We start from the raw sequence: 20,642 nt of genomic DNA on the forward strand, positions 1-20,642 counted from the left end.
CTTGCACGAAATAGAGATGTAAGTCAGGATGAGTCTCTCATTCACTCAACAAATATTTATTGAATGCCAACCCTTCTCAGCCGCTGGGTATTCAGTGGTATAGAGTGTGAACAAAATGCTGCTGGCATAGAGCTTATATTCTAGTTGAAAGGAGGCAAACAATAAATAACTGTGTAAATTAATATATGGTTAGTGACAGGTGCAAGTCAGATAATTAAAACAGAGAGTGGTGGGGAGCTCTAGAAAGGCTCCTATGAAGAGGTAAGTTGACATTTAAGCTGAGCTCGCAATGGCAAATCATGCCAAGGCAGAGAGAAAGAACATTCCAGGAAAATACCCTAAGAGGAGAGGACCTTGGAATTTTTGAAAGATGAACAGATCCCTGGAAAATAGAGAGAGGGGCACCAGAGAGGTCTGAGAATTGGGCAAAGGCCAGGTCATACAGGATTTTGTTAACCACGATAATGAATATAAGTTTTATATGAATTACGGATGCAGAGATTTGCATTTCACAAAGATGACTGCTTGCCACGTGAAACATAGACCAGTGGGGCCCAGGAGAAGAAGGCAGGAGAGCAGTTAGGAAGCTGTCTGGGAGTCCAGGCAAGGGGTCATAGTGGTTTGAACTGGAAGGTGGTTCTGAAATGGAAGGTGAAGGAAATGGAAGTACCGTTGTAGAAAATTAACAGGCAGATCTGGGAAAACCCAGTGGAGGTGAAGGGAGTGAATTAAAATGATTCCAGGATGGAGAGGTCGGGGCTTGGGTGAATGGTGCCATGGAAAGTAATGGAGGTATCTCAAATAGAAAGTAGTGAGTGGGAAGAGCAGGAGTGAGCTTGCAGAAGTTCTAGCAGAAATGTGAAAGGCCATGGTTATTTGCCAAGATGGAAGATAGATTAGGTGGTGGTCATCTCATTTGGGCGTTGAAACTTGTTTTCAAAACCTGTACCTGGTTTTGATTTCTACACAGGGATGCAACTGGCAGATGACATCTCAAGAGGTGGGTTTGTCATGGTGGTTATTATTGTACATGTGAGACTTTTAGCTTTTAAGGTTTTTGGTTTTTTTCGAGATAGAGTCTCGCTGTGTCACCCAGGCTGGAGTGCAGTGGTGCGACCTCGGCTCACTGCAACCTCCGCCTCCTGGGTTCAAGCAGTTTTTCTGCTTCAGCCTCTGAGTAGGTGGGATTACAGGCACATGCCACCATGCCCAGTTACTTATTTATTTATTTATTTATTTATTTATTTATTTATTTATTTTTTATTTTTAGTAGAGACGGAGTTTCACCATGTTGGCCAGGCTGGTCTCGAACTCCTGACCTCGTGAACCACACGGCTCAGCCTCCCAAAGTGCTGGGATTGCAGGTGTGAGCCACCATGCCCAGCCAGCTTTTAAGGTTTTGCCACACGCTAAACAAGGCATGGTGAGGACTCTTGGGTTTGAGATCCCAACAGCCTCAGAGATATCAGATGTAGGGCAAAGCGGGTATCTGCATCCCCCAAGTTCTTTCCTTCTCACTAAAGTGCTTGAAGTACTGGTCCTTTATGATACTTTCAGTTCTGGAGTACATGTGCAGAATGTGCAGGTTTGTTACATAGCTATACATGTGCCATGGTGGTTGCTGCACCCATCACCCCGTCATCTACATTAGATATTTCTCCTAAAGCTATACCCCCCAGCCCCCACCCCCCAACAGGCCCCAGTGTGTGATGTTCCCCTCCCTGTGTCCATGTATTCTCATTGTTCACCTCCCACTTATGAGAACATGTGGCGTTTGATTTTCTGTTCTTGTGTTAGTTTGATGAGAATGATGGTTTCCACCTTCATCCATGTCCCTGCAAAGGACATGATCTCATGTTTTTTTATGGCTGCATAGTATTCCATGGTGTATATGTGCCACATTTTCTTTATTCAGTCTTTATCATTGATGGGCATTTGGGTTGGTTCCAAGTCTTTTTTATTGTGAACAGTGCCACAGTAATCATACGTGTGCATGTATCTTTATAGTAGCATGATTTATAATCCTTTGGGTATATATCCAGTAATGGGATTGCTGGGTCTAATGGTATTTCTAGTTCTATATCCTTGAGGAATCGCCACACTGTCTTCCACAATGGTTGAACTAATTTACACTCCTACCAACAGTGTAAAAGTGTTCCTATTTCTCCACATCCTCTCCAGCATCTGTTGTTTTCTGACTTTTTAATGATCTCCATTCTGACTGCCATGAGATGTTATCTCATTGTGGTTTTGATTTGCATTTCTCTAATGACCAGTGATAAAGAGCATTTATTCATATGTTTGTTGGCTGCATAAATGTCTTCTCTTGAGAAGTGTCTGTTCATATCCTTTGCCCACTTTTTGATGGGGTTGTTTTTTTCTTGTAAATTTGTTTAATGTATTTGTAGATTCTGGATATTAGCCCTTTGTCAGATGAATAGATGGTAAAAATTTTGTCCCATTCTGTAGGTTGCTGAAACAGGCAGTTTTTTGAGTGCTTGCCACACACCAACCATTGTGCAAAGTACCTACCATGCATTATCTTGCTAAATTAGTATAGGATTAGTAATAAATTCTATGAGCTATGTTCTATTTTTATCCTCATTTTATAGATAAGAAAACTGAGACCCAGGTATTTGATTAATTTCACACAGCTGATAAAGAGAGGATGTGGATTCTCTAAGTCCAGAATTGAGGCCGTCAGTCACTGGATCGTACTGACATGATATTCATTCATATACCCCTGTCTTCCAAATGCATAGATGTACAATAGCTGTCAGGATTGTATCTCCCTGGGTCTCGTTTCTTATCAAAATTGCACATTTGCTGGCAAGAAGAGAGTGGCACATTGATCTCAAACTGTGAAATAAATCCATACGCCTTCAGAGAGGTTCTTCGAATGTATGGTCAAGCATTGCAAAAGCCGCTGTGTGTTTGGAAGAAAGGTGAAACTGGAAGGTCTTTGGCTCAGGGTGCCATTAGGAGTGGTGTCGGTGGCAGCTGTGGGCCATCATGGTACACATCCTGCGTCAACTCCAGGCCTCCCCACAATCCCATGAACAGCAAAGCCCCTCATCTTTTGAATGCTGGAGAAAGCTCCGTACGTGTAGGGCTTCGCCATCAGTTTAAAACGTCTCTGGAATTCTTTGATTATTTTAATGTGCTAATTTCTTGAGCTTTGTTTTTGTGCTGTCTTTGATTTTCCACTTTCGCCTTTATTTTACGCCATTGTTGGAAGGGTCAAAGCATCCCAGAGCTTAATGGCTCTCTTGTTCAGCTATTGTGGGGGGAAAAAGAGCAAAGCAAACAAAACAAAACAAAATATCCTTTTTTTTGTTTTGCTTTTTTTTTAATTTAAAGGCATCCAAAAAATTGTTTCTTTTGCCTTTGATCAAGATCATATAAACATAATCAGTGTTTATTGTGTTTGCATAATCGAAAATAGCAGGAAACTGATCTCAGATTGCATGGAGCTAGAAAAGATTAAGCCTTTCCTTCTTGGCAGAGTTCTACAGACACACAAGGTTGGTGTGATGGATGCAGCACTCGGTATCCATGATGTGTTCGGGAAAATCCTCAGAAGAAACTTGCATTGCTTTCTGGGGAAATTCCTGAATACAAGTGGCAATGAGATGCATGAAAATTATTTTCAGCTGATGAATACTGTCTGAACATAACTATTGCTGGGGTGTATAATTTAAAATCTGTAGAGTGAAGTGTGCAATATATGGGCTTTGGGATACAACAAATATGGATTTAAATTCTACTCCTCCTTTTTATCATCTCTCTGCCCGGGATAACTTGTTTCATCCCCTTCCCTGAGCTTAAGCCCCCTCAACTGTAAAAGAAAGATAACAACCCTTACCTCATATGGTTCTAGGGAGGACAACATGAGATAATACACATCCAGGCAGTCCCCAACTTAAAAGTGGTTTCACTTACTTTTTTTTTTTTTTTTTTTTTTTTTGACATTATGAATGACGTGAAACCTTTCTGTTTTTTCACATTTGGTATGGTATTCAATGAATTCCACGAGATATTCAATACTATTATAAAATTAGCTTTGTGTTAGATGAGTTTGTCCAAATGTAGGCTAATATAAGTGTTTTGAGCTTCTTTAAGGTAGAGAAGACAAAGCTATGATGTTCAGTAGGTTAGGTGTATGGAATGCAATTTTGATAGAATATTTTCAACTCACGATGAGTTTATAGGGACATAACCATATCATAAGTCAAGGAAAGCATGTACGCAGAGCTTAATAGAGTGCCTAATACAGAGTAAGTGCTTAAAACATTTTTTTAAAGTGTGATACAAGTTCTTTGGAGAGCCTGAATGAATTGGGGGTATGGCCATATGTAATATGTTCAGTGCAGCACCATTCTTTAATAAATTACAAGTTGGTCTATTTCTTTGTTCCTTTTTATTTTTATTTTTATTTTTGGAGGCAGAGTCTCACTGTGTCACCCAGGCTGGAATGCAGTGGTGTGATCACAGCTCATGGCAGCTTTGATCTCTCCAGGCTTAGATGATCCTGTACCTCAGCCTCCTGAATAGCTGGCAGCACAGGTGTGTGTCACCACGCCCAGCTAATTTTAGTATTTTTGGTAGAGACGAGGTCTTGCCATGTAGCCCAGGCTGGTCTTAAACCCCTGGGCTCAGGTAGTCCTCCCACCTCAGCCTCCCAAAGCACTTGGATTACAGGCATGAGCCACAGTGCCCAGCCAGATGTAACTATTTAATGAAATGTTGATTGGGGTGTGCTTGCTTCCCCTGAAGCCTGATTCTTGATCTTTGTTCTGGACTCCAGGACCAAAGATATCATTGCTTAATCTTGCGAACAACTCTGGAAGATCCTTACAGAATGACTTGCTTTAGCCAAATCCTATGGTAAGGCAAAACACTACCTAAAAACAATAATAAGCATAATTGTCATCCAGATATGTTGGGACCCTACAGAGAAATTCAGAAGACAATCTGGCTGGAGTTTACAGTATGTACAACAGCAGTCTTGGTTAGGCCATGGTATTATAATTCAGCAACAACACCAATAATAATATTGGTGGTTAAAATTTCTTGAGTATATAGAATGTTCCTTCTAGTATGCTTAAGGCTTGATATGCATACAATCTTTATGGCACCCTGCAAAATCCATGAGTCCACTGCTGTTTTCCAAATAAGAAGATGGGGGTTGTAGTAGTCCATTCTCATACTGTTATAAAGAGATACCTGAGTCTGGGTAATTTATAAAGGAAAGAGGTTTAATTGGCTCACAGTTCTGTGGGTTGTACAGGCTCTGCTTCTGGGGAGGCCTCAGGAAACTTATAATCATGGCAGAAGGTGAAAACGAAGCAAGCACATCCTCACATGGCCAGCAGGAGAGAGGAAGACAGAAAAACAGAGCGAGAAGGGAGAGGGGCTACATACTTTCAAACAAACAGCTCTTGTGAAAACTCTATCAAAAGAACAGCAAGGGGGATGTTTGCTCCCATTATTCTGTCATCTCGCACCAGACCCCTCCTCCAACACTGAGAACTACAGCTGGACATGAGATTTGGGGAGGGACACACAGCCAAACCATATCAGGGGTCTAGAAAGGTAAACCAATTTTCCCATAACAATAGAGAGAATACATTATAATAAGTAGGACTTGATCCAAATCTGAGAGACACCCAAACTCATGTTCTTAACTATGAGATTTCGATACTTGGAGTCAGAAGACTTGGGTTTAAGTTTCAGTTGCAGGGACCTTACTCACATCTTCTAACCTCTCAAAGCCTTGCCATATCATCTGTTCAAAAGAATACCTTCTTCACAAAATTGTAAAGACTGAATGAGAAAATGCACCTAAAGCATCTTTGCACATCGCAGAGATTATGCAAGTATAAGGTGCTATATTTCGCATTAACACCTGAGCATAGATCATTTTCGGATTGTGTGAGGGATGGTGAATTTATAAATTTGGTGATTTTTGATGAAAAGAATCAATATGCTGTCTCTTTACAGAGGAATTAGTGGTTATAAGAACTGACAATGCATTTAGAGATTTGTTTTTTTCAATAGGACAGAAAGAGACTATTTTCTTTCCATTTATAAGAATATGAATGTGCTTAAGGGAGGACAGATTCCAACAATCGAGTTGTTTGCTGTGATTTGTACGCCCTGGGGATATGGAGAGTTGGGAATGTAGAAAAATTACAATTATGGAATAAAAAAAGATCCAGGGAGAAGGATTTTTTTTACTGCCTGTTTTGCTTGTGTGGCTTGGAACAGGGAGTTTCCTGGAGGGTGTGGGGTCTTCCTTGCTGACCCTCGTGCTTTTTGGAGGCTCATTGGTAAGCCTTGTTGTGCCTGTTCCTTCTGCTCCTAGTCCTTAAGAACATAGCTCTTATCCTTAACTGACCTTTTGCACTGAATATGTGACAGTTAATCCACTGGAAGGTTTTAGATAGGCAGCATGTCCAGACACTGCCCCCTGCACGTGACTGGCCCCACCTCCGTCCCACCTTGGTGTTAATCCCATGGGGTGGATTTTCTAGGCCAGTCTCTTTTTAGAATAGCATTTGCTGATGTCCCTCTAAGAGAGTTTTTGGGCATGTGCCCTGGTTTGTAAAAGAAGGGCCCTCATGGAGGTAGAGGAAAGAAGTTTCGCGTCCCAAGATCTCCAAGGATACCAATTATAGGGGTAGCTGGGTACCTGCCTCCCTCTGCTCTTCGTTTCTCACCGCAAGAGCTCTGCTATGATTTTCTCCACATCTGGACTTCTTTCCTCCCTTTCTTGCATAGCTAACACCCATGTGTGCTTTTGGACCAGTTTCCTTGTCCCGTTCACAAAATTAAAACTTCCTTGACCTCACTGACTTGGTTAAGTACCTTTACTGTATCACTTTATAACTTCAGTACCTTCATTTGTAGCTTGCATCATCATTTCAGTTTTACAACTTTTTATGTAATGATTTGGTTTATGATACTCTTCCCCCAAAAGACTGTAAAGGCCATGCAGATGAGGACCAAATGTGTTTTTTCTTCCTACGCATCCTCAGCATATGTGCCTTTTATACAGTAGGCTTTTAACAGTGACTAAAAGGAAGAGTGAGTCGGTGGATGGATGGAGAAATGAATGAATGAATGAATGGGTTACACAACCAGCCTGTCCAGACACTGATTCTTTTACGTAGGCTGAGATTCCTGAGGTAAGGGACAAGGATATCAACTTGCGTTAGTTTACCTTATGCACTCCATCGCAGCCTAAACTGTCACTGATTACTTGCTGCCCTTAGAATACAAGCTCTCTCTGTCTTCCTTCCCCTCCTGCCTTTTGCAATCTCATTTCATGCTTTGCTCATTTGCCACCACAATACTTAAGCCAGGCCAGAATTATTTTCAGTGTTTGAAAGTTGCACACCCACTTCTCCCTTGCAGATTCTGTACACGCTTTTCCTCCATCAAAAATGTTTTATTCTGCCTCTTCAAACATTGCATTTTCATAATCATTTTCAGACCTCTGCCTACATGTCCCTTTTTCATGGAAGCCCTCCCTCCCTGAATCCTCTAGGTTGGACAACTTTCCCCTGTAGTCCCCTTGTATAGCACCTTGCATTTCCCTCCAGATCACGTCCCAAAATTATAATGAATATATGTTTGCATTTGGACAATGGCCTGTTTCCTCCACTCAGGAGTAATAGCTACTTGAGGAAATGCCTTGGTCATCAAAAAGTGTCTGGCTCCTAGTAGGTACTCCACAAGCAGTTATCAAATAAAATTGTAAAACCCAGGCACTCTTTATGGTCCTACCAAAACCAGTGACTTGAATGGGAGATATTTAGGGTCAAGGAAGAAAGAAGGCAGGCATGTTCATATTTATTTACCTCCTGTGGGTTTGTGATGGCCCCTCCTTCTTCTTGGGCTAGAGTCAGAGCCACTTTCTCCTAATCCCCTATAGGTTAAGCTGAGTAGGTGATAAAGCCCAAGTCATAGTAGCATAAGCACAAGGAATTCTGATTATGTTAAGAAACTGAAAACTTCAGGAGTGGTTTTGGCTATTGGTCATTGCTGAATCTAAGGGTTTGCATAATTACTGTAGGGATGTCCTCAGTCCGTGGATTGTTTTGACTCTCTTTGGTGTCTTGGTTTTTTGTTGTTTTGGTTTGGTTTGGTTTGTTTGTTTGTTTGTTTGTTTGTTTGTTTGTTTTGAGACAGAGTCTTGCTGTGTCCCCCAAGCTGGAGTGCAGTGGCATGATCTCGGCTCACTGCAACCTCCGCCTCCCAGGTTCCAGTGATTTTCCTGCTTCAGCCTCCCGTATAGCTGGGACTACAGGCCCATGCCACCACACCTGGCTAATTTTTGCATTTCTAGTAGAGACAGGGTTTCACCATGTTGGCCAGGCTGGTCTGGAACTCCTGACCTCAGGTGATCTGCCTGCCTCAGCCTCCTAAAGTGGTGGGATTACAGGTGTGAGCCACCGCACCCCACCTGGTGTCTTGATTTTTATTGCTCCTTGCATATAGTCAATGGTTCTGAGATCTGACAGGAAATGCCTGATGGAAGAGCTATGGCCCATGCAGGATCTCACTTCAGACCTTAATCCTTAAGTTTGTGTCTGGGAAGATGGGGTACTTGATTGGCAAGATGCTCGTCACTTCTTGCTCACCTCTGGATGTCAATCCACAAGTTTTCTTTGGTATCTTCACTGTATGAAAAACCCAACTATAATATTACACTCAAGTACACACTTATAGGAGCACACTTTTTATATAGTTTCTATATAATTTTCCTACCCCATCTGTCTTAGGTCAGATTTCCTAGGGATAATGCCATGCCTGAGATGGGTGCAAGTGGTGAATTGAAGGAATGCTCTCTGGACAATGCTATAGGGGGTGGTGGTAATGAATCAGGATAAGGCAGAGGAAGGTATGGTTTCAGGGGGAAACATAGCCTCAGCCTGATCTTGTAAGAAGATCTGGATTATTCATTGTGCCAAGGATTATTTCACTGAGTCTTATCCCCACCCCGTTTCATCCATCTGTCTTTGGCCACAAGGTGTCCCCCAGGAAGGGGTGGTAGCCGCCTTACCCCTTACCTCCACCTTTACTCCAGGCATCTCTGGCTAAGGTGAATCATGCCAGCCAAGTCCAAACATTCAGAGAAGAATTCAGGTTGTCAGCAGTTAGCTGCAAACACCCACGTCAGCAGGAAGATGGTTCATCAAGCTAGGGAGGATGGCTGAGGCACCAGCTTTAAGGAGTCATAGAATGGCCTGGTGTGGTGGCTCACACCTGTAATCCTAGCCCTTTGGGAGTCCAAGGTGGGCAGATCACCTGAGGTCAGGAGTTGGAGACCATCCTGGCCACAATGGTGAAACCCCATCTCTACGAAAAATACCAAAATTAGCCGGGTGTCCTGGTGCGTGCCTGTAATCCTAGCTACTCTGGAGGCTGAGGCAGGAGAATTGCTTGAACCCAGGAGGCAGAGGTTGTAGTGAGCCAAGATCGTGCTACTGCACTCTAGCCTGGGCAACAGAGCAAGACTCCGCATCAAAAAAAAAAAAAAAAAAAAAAAAAAAAAGAGAGAAAGAAATAAAAAATAGTCATAGAATGAGAAAAAAATCTGAAATTAGAGGGATTGCTGTATAAATAATGACCTCTGCTTGTATTTTCTGAGTAGTTCCAATTTTACCCAGTCCCTTCTGTCTCCTTAGTCTTCAGCCTGAATCTCTTGCTTACCTCCCCTAATGGCCATATGGGGAACAGGATTTTATTAAGGAAACCTCGAAAGGGTTGACACAAGAGTCAAACCCCCACACCTTTAGATGCATAGGCAGTGAAACCAACCTGTACTTCCCATCTTCTTGCGTTTCCATTTATCCATTCCTCTTGGGGTCCAGGGTCATAGCCTCTCTACTGTACCTCCAACGGGTGCCACTACAGTGTCTGGATTCTCGATCACCACCTCCCTTTTCAGTTTACTGATCAGGCAGTTTCGGAGACCACGCCAGGGTTTCATGTGCCCCGGTTGAGGCATGAATAACAGCAGTTTGAATTCTCCTTTGTAATTCTCATCCAGGCAAGTCACTCTTTTTTCCTGGTATAAATGATCAGATCGCTGCTGCAGACTCATCCAGGATTCCTCTGCCTTATTGTTTTTCAATCCGTCTACTTCCACGATCCTCTCTTCCCACCCTCCTTGCCGTCCCCTGCAGCCTTCATGTCTGTGCATACATAAATAAGGCTGTTATGCACGCATGTGAGAATATATACCCATCATGGTACTGTGTGAGCCTGTGTACGTGCTGAGGAAATGTAATGGGCTGTGGTTGTGTGTTTGTAGGTGTATAATAAGTTTGCCGCAGACTAGGGGGATAAATAGAGCCATTTGTTGATTCAAACCAATTTTTTTTTCTCTTGAGTTAGTATCCAATCTGTAGCTAAGAACTGCTGACTACAGCATATTTCCAAGTGTGGATTTTTTTTTTTTTTCCCTGACAGCCAAGACCTAACTCTTGCCTGATCTATGTAGATGCATTGTTCAAATTACAAAGCTTAGGTGACAGAATTGCTCTTTTTACTGGGAGCCCCCAACACACCTGTCATCAGATAGAAGGGAGAATGCAGAAGTCATCACTTTACTTAGAAACTCAGCAGATGATTGAAATTATTTCTTACTACTAATTCCCCTTTTAGTGGAGATAAGCCGCTTTGTTCAGCTGTAAATGAAACATTAGGGTATTAACTGTGGAGCCAGAAGTATTGGGGAAGCTAAGATTTTATCTGCAGTAAGAACATTTTGGGCAATAAATTGTTTTGTTGGACGGAATACTAAATCTCTTGAGTTACAAAGAAGCAGAGCTCATTAAGGGGAATGCTTAAAGCAGAAAACAAGGCGAGACAAAAGCTTATTACCTTTGTTGTGGGGATTGAGGGGGTGTTTGCAGGTTCTCATGTATATGTAGCATGGAAGACTTATGCAGTACAGTTATTAAATAGATGTGTCTATAGACTTGCAAATGCTCTATGAATATGTCCAAGGGACAAATACATTTCTGAAATATCAATAGCAATCTGCAATAAGTTATGAATTTTGGCGTACATATTTACCCTCAAAGACTAGATTTTTGTTTCCTGCGGGTGAAATTTTCCCGTCTCTTTGCCACATCCTTCAGATTAATTGACTGGCATGGTTACATAAATGTTTGTAATAGAGAAGAGTAAGTGCCAGGGTTATCCAAAATATTGTCGCAAAATACACACCTAAATTAAGATAATTATGTGTTGGGAGCATCTATCGGCAGGGCTTGGCAAGGAGGGGAGCTTTCTCTTGATGGAGAGGAGGCTCTTTCTGGGACACTGAATTCATGAATGGTGGGTTCTGGATTCCCCAGGGTGCTCTCAGCTTGTAAGTGTCAGGGGAGGGGATTGAGGGCTGTTCTTTTGCCAATAACCAGGGCGGAAGGAGGACGAGAGGAAGAAGACAGTGCCTTCTTTTCCCTGGAGTTAGCAACCCTCTGCTGTGTCTCCAAGAGCAAGGCTGTGGCAGTACAACTGTCTACCTGTCTACACCGGCTGCTCCTTCTTGCCTTTGGACAGAAGATGACACTCACAAACTGTGGCCCCTGAGCAACAGTGTAAACGGGCATACCTCAGTTACAAGCGGATTCAAATGTAATGAGAACAATTTCAGAGCTATGCATTTTATTCTTCTGTTTTTCTCCCTGGATGACTCAGGGCATCTTTTCACAGACTCCCACCCTGAAGGTTTTTATTGCCATTTCTGCGCTTCCCTACACGTCCTGATTCATAAGTGGATGCTCAGGACACAGTCACTCAGAGTAGCTTAATACTCTGCGGACCTCACGTGCTGAGTTCTCATTCTGGACTTAACGTTACTTTAAGCTCAGTTTGTACCTTTCCTTGGTTCTGTCAATGGAAATAAGGACAACACTTCTCAAAACACAGCAGGTGGGCTGAGAGTGGTGACTTACACCTGTAATCCCAGCACTTTGGGAGGCTGAGGTGGGTGGATCACTTGAGGTCAGAAGTTCAAGAACAGCCTTGCCAACACTATGAAACTGCATCTCTACTAAAAATACAATCAATTAGCCAGGTTTGGTGGTGTGCTCCTGTAATCCCAGCTACTCTGGAGGCTGAGGCATGGGAATCACTTAAACCCAGGAGACAGAGGTTGCAGTGAGCCTAGAAGATGCCACTGCACTCCGGCCTGGGCTATAGGGTGAGACTGTCAAAAAGAAAAATAAAAGAAAAAAAGAAACATAGCAGGAAGGTAGCAGTGGACAAATGAAGTATTGGAAACACATAGCCTACACATTCATGTGAGCTTTAGGAGAACGTGAGGTCTAACTTGCTTAAAGAAAACTTAGCACATGAAAAATGAAAACTATTTTTTTCAGTGCATGAGTGATCATGATCTCTTTAATTAAAAGTGCACTGAATTGTAAGATCTTTTACCAAAATGTTACCATCTTTATCTTCTATCTCTGGTGCTGAGTGTAGTAACAGGAAGAGATTTCGAAGTGAAGACTTTAGTAAGATAGAATTGTGTGTATTGTGTTTAAATCTGGGGTGTATTTAAAATGTAATTGAAATCACAAGATATTTAACATGCTATTCACTTTGCAAGTGACTTTTCAGGACCACTTATCTGCAGACTGTAGGACACCAGTCTATGAACGTTGGCTTATAGGAGCACCAGGTCTCCAGTTGAGTTAATTCCTCATACTTGTCACATAGGGGGCATACTAAGTCTTCCTGAGATGAGTAGAAACATAGATCCACATAAAAATGAAAAGAACCCACTGGTGACAGAGGGTCTCAGAGCCTCCAGTTTTTTTCTGAACTTTGAAAGTCAGTACCAAAGAGTCAGAACTGAATGGAAGGACACTAAAATCAATACTTTTCAATGTAACATCACAAGCGTTGGGACTCTGAAGAACTTGATGACACATGATTCAGAAGCAAAGTGATATTTACATAGGAAGACTGTCCTCGCCCTCTGGAATGATTTTGACATGTGTATTCACTCTTAGTTTTGGCTCTTAGAGTTTAAGTAATAGATTTACGGTGGTATGAACACAGGTGTTAAAGAGTTCTGGGTTCAAGTCTTGTCCACGTCCCAAGCTGTGGAACTCTGAATAAACCTCTTAGTCTATTGGAACCTTAGTTTTCTCATCTGTAAAACAGATGAAACTACCTGATTTTTTAGGCCCTACTTGGCTCTTAAATTTCTCGGCTCAGTGAACAATGCAAGCTTTATGTTATAAACCACCAAGACATCTAAGCTTCTTCCCTTACGGCCGTTAGTGGATTAAGCGATATCCTCAGAGCAACTGTTTGGTGATTTAACCTCCCCCAGTTGCTCTATTTCCTGGGTTGTTCATGAGTAATTGATAAAGAATTTGCAACACTAGGATTCCACATGGAAGAAGGAAATGCCTCTTTTGGACCCATTTCAAACAAGCATTGGTAGGAGATGCCTCAGACGCTTATGCTTAAAGCATCAGTATCATTGCCTGACAGCTTATCACAGTGGCAGGAGCATAGGGTTGAATCTTATGTTTTTCTTTCCCTCTGGGTGACACTTACAGGATGCTTAAGTTTGCTGGACCTCACTTTCTTCATCTGTAAGATGGGGACAGAGAACTATCTCAGTGTTACAGAAAATTTGAAGATGAGGCTGAAGATGTAAGATTTTGTTAATGTCTACAGTGTTAAAGAATCTCAATATATGGTGGCTATGATTATTGCTATTCTTATATTAACTTGGTGATAGGCATCAGTGGTTGAATTATCTGGAGAACCCAGAAAACAGAACAGATCTTGCAAATTCAGTCGCTTACCCAGATGTTAGTTGTTTGATCCCCAGTGTGACAAATGCCACCTTCAATCTCTCTAACATTTCTAGGCAAGAAATTATTCTCTCAGGAGACTGCCAGAGAGGCAATTTTGAGCTTGAAACTTATTGATGTGATGGGCTATGACCAGGCAACTTCCGTAGTCGGGGCATGTGCTGAGTCTGACTACAGTCTGACTACAAATCCCAGCTCTAGCCCCATGTGGCTGGGGGCCAGCTATTTTCATTGTGGGGTTAGACTCCCTGGAGGGAATAATTCTGAGATGACCCTTTTAAAATGTAATCCTTGTACTAAAGTGGGGCTAGAGGGTTCCCTATTCATTCATACGGCTACTGTAACAAATGCCCACAAACTTGGTAGCTTTATAACAATAGAAATTTACTCTCTTCCAATTGGGAGGCAAAAAGTTTGATGTCAAGGTGTCAACGGAAATAGTAGACACTAGGAACTACTTGGGGCAAGTGTTGAGTGACTGTTGGGTACTCTGCTCACTTTGTACCTCAAACCTCAGCATCACGTAATATACTCATGTAACAAAGCTGCACTTGTACCCCCGAATCCAACATGAAAGTTGAAATTATATTTTTAAAAAGCAATGTCGGGCCAGGTGCGGTAGCTCACGCCTGTTATCCCAACATTTTGGGAGGCCGAAGCAGGTGGATTACCTGAGGTCAGTAGTTTGAGACCAGCTTGACCAACACGGAGAAACCCCATCTCTACTAAAAATACAAAATTAGCCAAGTGCGATGGCGCATGCCTGTAATCGCAGCTACGTGGGAGGCTGAAGCAGGAGAATTGCTTTAACCTGGGAGGCAGAGGTTGCAGTGAGCCGGGATCAGACTGTTGCACTCCAGCCTGGGTAACAAGAGCAGAACTCTGTCTCAAATAAATAAATAAATGAATAAATAAATAAAAATAAAAATGCAATGTCAGCAGATTGGCTCCTTATGGAGACTTTGGATACTTTGAGGGAAAATCCATACCCTGGCTCTCTTTTAGCCTCTGGTGGTGTCTGTCAATACCTGACATTTCTGGGCTTGTAGATGCATCTCGTCCATTTCTGCCTCCATCTTCATATGGCATTCCCCTCTATGTCTTCTGTTCTGTGTGTCTTCTAAGAATTTGTCGATGGATTTAGGGCTCACTTAAGTTTAAGATGACCCCATATCAAGATCTTTTAACTTGATTACATCTGCAAAGACCCTCTTCCCAAATAAGGTCATAGTCACAGGCACGAGGGGTTAAGACTTAGACATACCTGTTGTGGGGACAAAATTCAATCTACTGCCATTTTATTGTGAACTATCCTTGCATGGAGAAACAGTTCATTTTAACTTAGAATATTCAACAACACAAAGCTAACACTTTTCTGTGGGCGATGACTATGTACCAGGCATTGTGCTAATTGATAAAGGGCATTATATTTTAAAGTTTTATCTTAACAATTATATGAGGTAGGGATTATGGCCTTCTCTGATTTATTGATGAGAAAATTGACCCTCAGGAGGGGAAGACCATTTTTCTTAGTCACCCAACTAAGAAAGTGGCACAGTTGGTATCCTAATCCGGAATTTTCTGATTCTGCCATTTATGCTTTGAACAATTATGCTAGAAGTTCTCAAATTTTGTCATGCATAAGAATCTCCTGGGGTTGTTAAAATTGCACCTTCCCCAAAGCTCCCATCTCTACAGAGATTCCGATTCTGTAGGTAGAGGGGAGGGGCAAGGATAGGCATTAAAAATAACTGCATTATGCAATTCTGCCCCCTCTCTCCTCCCACTGAACCCATCTTTAAGGAAACTGCAACCTCAGCACAGGGGCTAGCAGACATATTCAGATCATCTCTGAAGACAGAAATCCTCAAAAGTGAAAAAACACAAGAAAGTCCAGGTTGCTTTTTTTTAATTTAAATTTATAGTGAAAGCTACCTTGGCCCACAGCTTTCTCCCTCCTGGTCCCTTACAAATATATTCCTTTCCGGATTCTTCAAGAACACAGTTTGTATTACCATCTCCCAGCAAGAAGAAATTTGGAAATAGGTGGTATTGCTCCTAACCCCTTCCTAAATTTGAGTCTGCTCATTCTTCAGCCATTTGGAGGTTTTCCACTTGGATGATGTCCACAGAGCTAGGGGAGGAAAAATTCTTCTGCAAAGCACAGTGGATGAACCATCAGTCTGCAGTAATCCAGTCAATTAAAAATGGATTTCAGTTCCCAGCAGCATGGTGGTGATGTTAGGAGGAGTCAGTGTCCACAATGCTGTTGGTGCGCTTGCCCATTAAGTGATATTTAGGGGATCTTCTGCCATAGCAGAAAACAGTGCGGTTGATGATCTTTGCAACTAAAGAAGCAAAATTGAAGTCTCACATACCACCACGGTATTTTATTTCTAATATGTTACCCTGCCAACCTTGGAACCCCGCATGAAACTCAGGAATGTGAAGGGACAGAAGTATGATATATTGCCCGATGCAGCTGATTCGAGAGGGGGTATCCAAAATACAGTCCCAAGACATCCAGGAGAATTTGCCTGAAGAGAGGGAACATGTAATGGTATTAGAAAATCCAGAAGATCTAAGCTGCCTGATGAAGCTATTTTTTAAAAAATGTATCTTCATTGCATTTATTTTTCATCACACAGTAGTTGGCGTAAAACCATTCTCTCTGTGAAAGAAGTCAAACTACAAATAACTATGCAAAAATATATAGAGAAAAAGGTGAAGCTTTTCATATTTTAAATAGCATCTGAATTACATTGCTTCTTTCAAGGAGGTAAACTTTGTTGAGTATTTAGCAGTTGTTCCAGACTTTTCTCTGATAAACTTTCAACTTCAACATAAAATAATGATAGGTGTTTTGGGAAGCCATAGATGGGATGGCTGTATGGATCGATAGCTAGATGGCTAAATATGTTGATAGACCCTCAAACAGATTAGGTAGGTAAAAAATAGAAAAATAAAAAGATAGAAAAATAGTTAACAATGCAAGCCTCTGGGCAGAAGAAATTTTTCCCTATGTTGTTTATGCTCTGTGTGATTCTGGCAATAGGTAAATGCATTGATTAGCTTCTTTGAACCCACTTTTCATTATCTATCAAGTAGAGGAAAACAGTGTCTTTGTTGCTTGCCTCCAGAATTGAGGATGACAGTGAGGTAATGAGGAAATGTATTTGAAAATATTATGGACTCAACAGACATATTGGCACAACTCAGGAGATGTCATAGGCCCAGCTTCTATAAGATGATATAACCTAGCACAGGAGGCCAAAAGAGTTTCCAAATTGCATAAAGGAAACTTGATTGTCCTTTAAAAATGGCTCTGGAGAAATTTTATACCCAGGCTCATGTCATCTCTCAGTGAGGTTAAATCTCCAAAAGAGGAATGTCATCTGTTAATAATACATCAAGCATGCAGCAGGTAGATGTTCTTTTCCTTCCCTTTAAAAAGTTATTTTTATTTTATTTTCATTTTTAATGTATATTTTAATGATGCAGAGTGTCATGTTCCTCAGAGTCAGACTGTATCCTAAAGTAATGGTTTGGTTAAAATATAGAATGGATTTTTGCCAAATTGAAAAATATATATATTGTGTTATAAAACTCGAGCTGTGATGAGCAACTCTTTGAAAATACATTTAAGTACTCACTGAGTCTTGTCTGAAGACTCACCTGTAAGGGAGGGTCAACTAAGTTATTCAGTCCCGGACGTTGTTAACTGCCCTGAAAGTGGTGGCTAATAATTTCCTTTTGAAGTGAAAAGTAGTAAGTATGTTCCTGAACTCCATTATCAATCTTTAATAATTTCAGATTAAGGCATTGTACTTCTATACAAAGGAATATCATCTTTGAAAAGTGGTCTTAAATAAAATTTCACAAATAATAGTATCCCATCCTCTTGCATTTGAGAATTTCTGCCGAGAGATAGGAGAAAATAAAGACTCCTTGCTGCTGTCAGGAGGTCATCGTTGGGAACAGACTTCAAAGTATGTGAACTTTGGTAGTGGAAAGATGATTATTCCTTGGTTTCCAGATCCTTATGCATAATTTGAATATGAGTGGCTTTCAATGCTAAGTATATGAGACTCCCCTCTGTTAATTATGCTGTTTCAGATGAGCCTAATTGGACAGCCACTGGCACCTAATATGGTAAATATTTCATATAACGTGACTTTGAGAAGAAGGGTGCCCCCCTCCTTAATCCCATTTGATAGGATGGTGTAACCTCAACAGCAGGGATAGCTTAACTCTAGAAAGAGTTGTTATTTATCTGAGGGCACCTGTAAGGGGGACATCACCTAACTCATTCAGTCCTAGACATTGATGCCTAAAGTATAAACTGTGGTCTATAGATGTAGGAAGGCTTGGAGGCAATTCTAGAAACACTGCAGAAAATTTGCAGTTTCTCCTCCAATCTGATCTTGAAGGAGGAGGTGAACCTGGAACTCCCCGTTCACGATGCAGTTGTGGAATAAAATGAGGCTTGATTTCTCCTGGATTATCTGACCACTTCTTTTTATTTTCCCCCGGCTCTATGGGGGTACAATTAACAAATATAAATTATGTACATTTAAGGTATACCATTTGATATTTTGATATATGTATACATTATGCAGTGACCACCACTCTGAATCCAGTGAAGGTATCTATCAGCTCAGAGTTCCGTTTTTTGGTGAGATCACTTAGAATCTAGTCTCTCAGCAAACTTCAAGTATACAATACAGTATCATTAATTGTAGTCACCGTGCTATACATTAGACGTCTAGAATTCAGTCATCTTGGATAACTGAAATTTTGTATTCTTTGACTAACATCTCCCCATTCCCTGCTCCCTTCAGCCTCTGGCAACCACTCTTCTCCTGTCTGTCTATTCCTACGAATTTGAGTGTTTTAGATCCTGCATGTAAGTGAGATCTTACAGCGTTTGTCTTTCTGTGTCTGGTTTATTTTCTCTAGCATAATGTCCTCCAGGTTCACCCATATTATTGCAAATGAGAGAATCCCCCCCCCCCCACTTTTTTTTTGCCCAGTCTGGAGTGCAATGGCACAATCTCAGGTCAGGGCAACCTCCGCCTCCCAAGTTCAAGTGATTCTCCTGCCTCAGCCTCCTGAATAGCTGGGATTACAGGCACCTGCCACTACTCCATGTGAATTTTGTATTTTTAGTAGAGACAGGGTTTCACCATGTTGGCCAGGTTGGTCTCGAACTCCTGACCTCAGGTGAACCACACACCTCAGCCTCCCAAAGTGCTGGGATTATAGGCGTGAGCCACCATGCCGGGGCTCCTTGTTTTCTTAATAGATGAATAATATTCTAGTACGTACATAAATTTTAATTAAATATTATTCTTTTATATATATATATAACCTTTTTAATTCATTCATTTGTTAATGGGTGCTTAAGTTGTTTTTATTATTGTGAATATGCCGCAGTGAACATGGGAGTGCATATCCTGATTTCATTTCCTTTTATTTTATTTTATTTTATTTTATTTTATTTTATTTTATTGAGACGGAGTCTCACTCTGTCACCCAGGCTAGAGTGCAGTGACTCATTCTCGGCTCACTGCTACCTCCACCTCCCAGGTTCAAGCGATTCTCCTGCCTCAGCCTCCTGAGTAGCTGTGATTACACGTGTGAGACCCCATACTTGGCTAAGTTTTGTATTTTTAGTACAGACGGGGTTTCACCATGTTAGTCAGGCTGGTCTCTAACTCCTGACCTCAGGTGATCTGCCTGCCTCAGCCTCCCAAAGTGCTGGGATTCCAGGCATAAGCCACCGTGCCCAGCCGACATAGGAATTTATTTAGTGTCACCTTGTAGGTCACTGACCTATCAGGGACAGGCCTCCAAGCTTCTGACATCCAGTGATAGCTTCTTAGAGGTGAATGATGACGGCTCCTGTTAACATTTTCTGGCAGGCACTGCGTGAAGCACTTGGCATAAATGACCTCCATAGATAGGTGCTATTATCATTTCTGCTTCACAGTTCAAAAAGTAAAGGCTTAAAGAATGTAAATAATTTACACCTGAGTGACCAGTACCTACACCTCAGAAGAGACCCTGTCTCTCAGTCATGCTGTGCTGCCAGCGTTGGAAATAGGTAGCAAGTCTGTGGATATTAAAAGAATGCTTTTTCAGAAAAAACAAACAAACAAACAAACAAAACCGAATGCACTTTTTAATTATCTGATTCCTTGTTGTCACGTCTTTATCAGGTAGAATGCACAATAGGTTATCATTCCCTTTTCACTGACGCAGAAACAGATGTGGGCTCTCCTGGAATGTGTTATGAATTGGGTGAGGGGTGCCGTTCAGGATGGCGTTCCTGGGTCAATGGATTTTATTTCCAGTGAGTAGATATGTGGGCGTAGGTCCTCGTTTCTCATGTCTACTCCCTCTAGTAGAGATGATTTTACTCCACAGCAGGAAAGATGCCTGCTACACCACAAAGGGTATTATTTCGGTTACGGTAATAACGCATAAGGGTGTGTTTTCAAAGCTGGGCAGTGCATGCTTGCCAGGTTGCAGGGTGATTCTTGAGAGCTTTCTGGGCCCATCCTAGAGAAAAATCTCCAGTGAGGCTGCAGTTGCAATTTATTTCCTCATTCTAGCAAGAAAGCTCTTGACGATACAGCAGTGTTTGTTTTCTGCTTGGTAAAGTAGAAAGGAAAACAGCAGAAATTAGCACGGCGCAGCGCTGATGCCAGCCCAGAGGCAGGGCCTCTCCTGGTAGCCCCCCCGCTGCAAACCTTTGCCGCTGGAAAGCCTTCAGCTGCGATG

The 20,642-nt window shown here is 41.7% G+C and overlaps 1 protein-coding gene across 47 annotated transcripts in view; it reads left to right on the forward strand.

Annotated features, from left to right (window-relative positions):
* The window catches only part of RBFOX1 (RNA binding fox-1 homolog 1), a 2,473,620-nt gene that overhangs the window by 2,144,982 nt on the left and 307,996 nt on the right, over positions 1-20,642 (forward strand). The window lies entirely within an intron of this gene.

The sequence above is a fragment of the Homo sapiens genome, chromosome 16 (genome assembly GCF_000001405.40).
Source record: "Homo sapiens chromosome 16, GRCh38.p14 Primary Assembly".
NCBI lineage: Eukaryota > Metazoa > Chordata > Mammalia > Primates > Hominidae > Homo > Homo sapiens.